Genomic DNA, 7,251 nt, shown 5'->3' on the forward strand with positions numbered 1-7,251 from the left:
CTCCCAAAAGTCTCTGAATACAGCTCATGTTTCCTGATCCAAAAGAGATGGAATCCCAGACACACAGGACTGGGCTTAGTTTGCCCACTGAATTGGACACATTTAAACATCTCTTGGGTCTTCAGAAGCCTTGCCCAAAAAAGCTTCTACCCACCCCTTGTAGCCACAAGAGCAGGACCTCAACATCCCTTTGCAGTTGGTGGTTCTCCCTTCTTCCCGATGGAATTTTTTTTTTTTTTTTTTTTTTGAGACAGAGTTTCTCTGTCGTCAGGCTGGAGTGCAGTGGTGCGATCTCGGCTCACTGCAACCTCCGCCTTCCGGGTTCAAGTGATTCTCCTGCCTCAGCCTCCCAGGTAGCTGGGACTACAGCTGATAGAATTATTATTCCTACTCATTCCACCATCTCAATCCTTGCTTCCTTCCTGCTCAATGATTCCAGGGTGTGCAGAAGTGAGAGCTCTGTTTAAAGGGCCTAGTACACAGATGTCTACTCCCCAGTCACAGGTGACTATCTCAGCCCCCAGGTGGGATGGCACATCCCTGTGCTGGCCCAGGCCACTGCTAAATCTCCAGAACAAAGCACAAGGCTTGGCTCCTAGGAGGTACCAGACAAATAATTGTTAAATGCATACATAAACATCCAACTAGTAGAAGTATTGGTACTGCTAATTACATTGCATATGTATCTATCATGTGCTGGAAGTTTTGCATACAATATGTCATCTAATGATTTTTCCTCTTACAGATGAGGAATTTGAGGAGCACAATTGTTCTTCATCTTTCCCCCGTGTACAAGATTGGAAGCAAGAAGAGGAATCAGTAACCGAGGAAATACTATTACAACACCAGCAGCACCTATCAATTCTCAGGCATCTCCTACATGCCAGGCCCTCCACTCCTCATTTTAGGCTCATTATCTCCAATTCACACTATAACCCACAGAACACATATTCTTATCCCCATTTTACAAATGAGGAAACTGAGACTCATGGGATTTAAATAACTTGCTTCCTTGTAGCAGGGTCAGGATTCAAACCTAGGTCAGCCCAAGTCCAAAGTCTGTGTGCTGAACCATGAGGCCAACAGGAACGGGAAGTGCAAAGGAACATTGCTATGATCAGCTTGTGCAGGGTACGTACTTATGTCACGTTGAGGTGATCAGTTCCCAGTATCTCCAGAAAGAGAGCCCAGCTCCCACCCTAAAGCTGTGCTGCATCTGCCCTTCCCTTGGTCCCGGACTCCCCCAGCCAAGGCTTTGGTGTTGAGTCTCCATCCTACAGGGACTTCAGGAATGGGCAGGCAGGAGCTCTGTAAGGCAGGAGGAAGCTGATAATCCTCTCTGGAAACCTAAATCTTACCCGAGGGAGAAAAATAAATAGTCTCTAACAAAGAAGTGGGAAAGAAAGACAAAGGCACAATGGTCCTTGACAACTGGGTCGGAGAATGCATTGTTGCCAGGGCAACAGCAGAGGAGGTAGGGTATCAAACAGTGGAAATCACTGTCTATATCACCTGTGTTGAGAATCGCTGCTCTAAAGTGTAATGGTGTATTAATCGGGGTTCTCTAGAGGGACAGAAGTAATTTTATATATATATATATATGGGACTTTATTAAGTAGTATTAACTCACATGAACACAAGATCCCACAATAGGCCATCGGCAAGCTGGGGAGCAAGGAGAGTCAGTCCAACTCCCAAAGCTGAAGAACTTGGAGTCCAATGTTCAAGGGCAGGAAGCATCCAGCACAGGAGAAGGATGTAGGCTGGGAGGCTAAGCCGGTCTAGCCTCTTCACATTTTTCCGCCTGGTTTATATCCTGGCTGTGCTGGCAGCTGATTAGATGGTACCCACCCAGATTAAGTGTGGGTCTGCCTTTCCCAGCCCACTGACTCAAATGTTAATCTCCTTTGGCAACACCCTCACAGACACACCCAGGATCAATACTTTGCATCCTTCAATCCAATCAAGTTGACACTCAATATTAACCATCACAAATGGAGAGAAGCATGCACTTCGTGTCTTTATCAAAATGGAAAGATGGTCACAATATTTTAAGTGACTATCATAGATTGAAAAATGTTAGAGACAGTTTATTAGCACTCCTGGAGTAGTTTAATGGTTACCCTCCCAATACCATTCTGCCTCCTTTGATTTGACTATGTTAAAAATATGTTCAATTCGCCGGGCACAGTGGCTCACGCCTGTAATCCCAGCACTTTGGGAGGTCGAGGCGGGTGGATCACAAGGTCAGGGGTTCGAGACCAGCCTGACCAACATGGTGAAACGCTGTCTCTACTAAAAATACAAAAATTAGCTGGGCGTGGTGGTGGGCACCTGTAATCCCAGCTACTCAGGAGGCTGAGGCAGGAGAATTGCTTGAGCCCGGGAGGCAGAGGTTGCAGTGAGCTGAGATCGTGCCACTGCACTCCAGCCTGGGCGACAGAGCAAGACTCTGTCTCAAAAAAAAAAAAAAAAAAAAAAAAAAAAAAGTTCAACTCTAGAGGGTGAACTACAATTTGTCTAAACCAGTCATGGCACACCAATTCCCCTCTTCCAGTGACTGGTCTAGAAGTGGGCGTGTAACCCAGGTCTGACTGATGAGACATAGGAGAAATCTGACAAGAGGTTTTCAGGAGGTAATCTTCACAGTCCCTTTAATAAAAGAGTGGTACATGCAGAGAAAGTGCCTTTCCTGCTTTGGCTGTCTTCCCTTCCTGGATCTGGATGCTATCTTGTGAGGATGTGATTCTCAGAGCTGCGGCAGCCATCTTGTCACCACGAGAGGAATCCTTGCCTACACACCAGGGAAGGCAGGACAAAAAGATAGTTAAGTACCTATGCCTTTGGTAACACGGAACCATCCTGGAACTACCTTCCAGAACTACCTTTCACCAGGCATTTTGGTAAATAAATGAATGTCTTTATGGTTGGGTTTTTTTTTTTCCTGCCACTTGCCACAAGACCCTTGGCTGCATGTAACAGAAACCCTTTCCATCTAGTTGATTTGGAAAAGGGAGGTTTGCCATAAGGATACTTTGAGAACTCGAGGGTAAGATGTGACTTTGGTGTAGGAATCAACTCCAAAATTCTCTCTCATTGCCCTCCTTCTACTCCTTCACTGCAGACCTCTCATCTCAGCTCCTAAGACTATTCTATAATACAGTGTGGCTCATTCCAGACTCTCGCCTGCTTCACTTCAGGCATCGACAAGACTGAGGCTGGAAGCTCTTGGTCTCTATCTCAAGTCCCTAGTTAAAGGACTGTTGAATCAGTGTGGGCTGGGAGCCTGTGCCTGACTTAACCCTAGCCAGGACTGGGTGGTGGTGCCCACGCATGGCTCCCAGGAGTCTGCCAGGGAGGCAGAGATGGGAACATGGCCAACTCCTAAGGTGGGGAGGGGAGTGCTCGGTAGATGAAATGTATTCACCGTAAATTCTAGAAGGATTACATACCAAAATTTGTAAATGCTTACCTATGTGTGGTTAGATTTTAATATTCTTTTTCTTTATGCTTATCTGTGTTTTCTAACTTCCCTACCATATACATGCAAGAAGAATCAGTAAGACCTGGGCCTTGTCAATTACCAGCTGTGTGACTTCACCTTTCTGAACCTCCATTTCCTCATCTCTAAAAATGAGCGTCACCCTCTCTATTTCATCAAGTTTCATGAAGAACTCAAGAGAATAAAGCAGGTCACTGGCTTGATGCACTGTAAATTGGCAGGTGTCAGGGGAATCTATGTGGTTTTTCTTTTTTCTATTTTTTTTTTTTTTTTTGAGACAGGGTCGTACTCTGTCACCCAGAATGGAGTGCAGTGGCACGATCTCAGCTCATGGTAACATCCGCCTCCCAGGCTCAAGCGATTCTCCTGCCTCAGCCTCCCGAGTAGCTGAGATTACAGCACGTGCCACTACCACCCAGCTAATTTCTGTATTTTTAGTAGAAATGGGGTTTCACCATGTTGGCCAGGCTAGTCTCAAACTCTTGACCTCAAGTGATCCACCCGCCTCAGCCTCCCAAAGAGCTGGGATTACAGGAGTGAACCACTGTGCCTGGCTGCAGTTTTTCTTTTTTTTTAAGAAATGGGATCTCACTCTTTTGCCCAGGCTGGAGTGCAGTGGGGCAATCATAGCTCACTGTGGCCTCAAACTCCTGGGCTCAAGCAATCCTCCTGCCTCAGCATCCCAAAGTCCTGGGATTACAGGCTTGTGCCACAACTCCCAGCCTGTGTGTTTAATTTTTATTTTAATAGTTTTGGGGATACAGGTGGTTTTTGGTTACATGGATAAGTTCTTTAATGGTGACTTCTGAGATTTTAGTGCACCCATAACCTAAGCAGTGTACACTGTACCCAATCTCTAGTCTTTTTCTCCTCACTCCCCACCCAACCTTCCTCCTAGAGTCCCCAAAGTCCATTATATCATTCTTATGCCTTTGCATCCTCATAGCTTAGCTCCCACTTATAAGTGAGAACATATGATATTGGGTTTTCCACTCCTGAGTTACTTCACTTAGAATAATGGCCTCCAGCTCCATCCAAGTTGCTGCAGAAGACATTAGTTTGTTCCTTTTTATGGTTGAATAGTATTCCATGGTGTATATATACCATAGTTTCTTTATCCACTCATTATGTGTTGGGAACTTAGGTTGGTTCCATATCTTTGCAATTGCAAATTGTCTGGCCTGTGTTTTTTTTATCTCCCCTACTCAAATGTTAGGTCATAGCAGCTGGGCACCAATCTGTGTATCCCCCATAGTGCTTGTGCTGGGTTGAATAGGGTCTCCGCCAAATTCATGTCCACCAAGAACATATAAATGTGACCTTATTTCAAAACAGGGTGTTTGCCAATGTTACCAAGTTAAGATGAGGTCATACTGGATTAGAGTAGGCCCTAAATCCAGTGGCTAGTGTTCCTATAAGGAGAGGGAGATTCAAAGACACAGACATACAGGGAAATGGCCATGTGAAGACAGAGGCAGAAATTGGAGTTACACTGCTTTAGGGCAAGGAAGACCTTGGGCACCAGAAGTTGGAAGAGACAAGAAAGGATCCTTCTCTGGGTTTGTTCTTCCAACCTCTAGAGCTGTGAGAGAAAAAAATCTCTGCTGCTTTAAAGCACCTAGTTTATAGTCATTTGTTAAGACAATCCTAGAAAACGAACACAGTGCTTAACATAGTACCTTGTACATGATCCATTCTCAACAAATGTTTGGTGGGTGGGTGAGTGAGTGAGTGAGTGAGTGAATAAGTGAATTGGGAATGGAGTCTAACTGGGCTTAGCTAAATAGCTGTGCCAGTCTCTCTCAGCAATCACAGCTAATGTTCAATGATCTCTCCTAATCATTCATTACTGTAATTCACTCATTCATTCATTCACTCATAATTTCTCATTCATATTTATTAAGTTTCTGCTTTGGGCCAGATACTAAACACTGGGTGGTAATCCCATTTTAACTACAGCAAGAATTTGAGAACTGGTCTCTTTAGCCAGGCCCCAGCTCCCCATGCACCTGGGTTTTGATCGATGGCTCCCCAGAAGCCACCCAACCATGCTCACACAATAAAAGGAGAGAAGAAAATTTAATAAGATTCCAAATTGCCTTCCCTTGAATTCAAATTGCTTCATATATTATGTTCATGATAACTACTGTAGTTCCTATTTTTTCTCAAGCCCCTTCTTTGTTTCTAATACAAGACAAGTTCTTGTGTTAATGAATTCTAGATTTTCATTTAATAAATGTTGCGTGGGAAGCTTCATTATTTGCAACTTCATCAATCTACCGCAGACACACAAATGCCCCTTTCTAAGTACCTGGGATCAATAGAGCATGATTCTCACGTATGGGGACCCTGCACGCTGCCACCAAGAAGAATTCAGTAATTGAAAAGACCTTATAAATCAATACAGCCAAATTGAAAACTCCAAGAGAACTTCGCATCATTCACTCAGGTGCTTGTTAAGATTTCTCTTTACTTTGAGGGGAAAAAAACAACACTGGGAAAAAGGTTGAAGAGGAGGAGAAAGAAAACAGATATTTCTATTTAATCCTAATCACTCAGCAAAGATGGTGGAACTTCTACTTAGCATGCAGATTCAATTTCACTTTGATTACTTGTCCTGATTAATTTTTTTTGTCTTTGCCTTTATTTAAACATAAAATCTCTCCACAGAAGACCACCTAGTGATGGTTTCTACCTCTTTTCCAGGGAGGCATTGAGAGACAGAATTCCAATGCTCACCATTAAGCCTGCCATATAACAGGGACTCAATAAACAGGGATTTTGATGGAGTTGTATTAAACTAAATGGCTGTTATTCTAGAATCTTTGAAGAATGGCAATAAAGTACAGAACCCCTTCCTCTCTGTACCCCCTACATATTTTTGTTGCCTGACAATTCTCTGCCATGGCTACGAGAGTTGAAGAAAATTTTTGTTGAGTTTCCATGATGCTGTTTGGGTTTGTTCCCCGCCGCCAACCCCCACCCCCTTATTTGCTTCCTGATTACAGTAATAAAATCAGCTTCAGAAATTTCACAGCCTGGGCAACATAGTGAGACCCCGTCTCTACAAAAAGGGCCGTTGCAACATGTCCCCTCCCTCCATCCCTGCTGGCTCACTGCCCAGCAGCCACAGCAGCCTTCTTTCTGGTTCTCAGGCAGCAACTTCCTCCCTCTGAGCCTTTGCATGTGCTGTTCTCTCTGCCTCGAATGCTCTTCCTCCCACCCTTTGACTTACTGAGTCCGACTTATCCTTTGGGTCTCTGCCTCATTGTCCCCTCCTTGAAAAACCCTCCCCTGACCTCACAGAGCTAAGTTCAGTGAGTTTATTATGTATTCTAGAAGATCCCTGTATATATTTTTTAAATTATAACACTTACCACAAGTATAATTAAGAAATTTTTGTGTAACTGCTTGTTTAAATTTTTTCTGTCTAGCTAGACTGTAAGCACCATGAGGTAGGGCCCCTTCTCTCACGTCCAGCACCCAAAGAGTTTAAGACTCACAATAAATATGACTTAAAGACATAACTAAACTTGTTCTTGGCAAATTGAAAGAATGGTGATTATTTAAATACATTTGTTATATGCTGTCAAATGAAAAAGCAGTGTATATGGATGCACAGAAAAAGGCTGGAATACTATACAGCAAAAGGATAAAAAAAGATCTTATTTAGGATTATGAGTTGTATTAGTCAATGTTCACCAGAGAGACATTATATACTTACATACATATACAGAGAGAGAGAGAGA

This window comes from Homo sapiens, chromosome 12, assembly GCF_000001405.40.
Source record: "Homo sapiens chromosome 12, GRCh38.p14 Primary Assembly".
Taxonomy (NCBI): domain Eukaryota; kingdom Metazoa; phylum Chordata; class Mammalia; order Primates; family Hominidae; genus Homo; species Homo sapiens.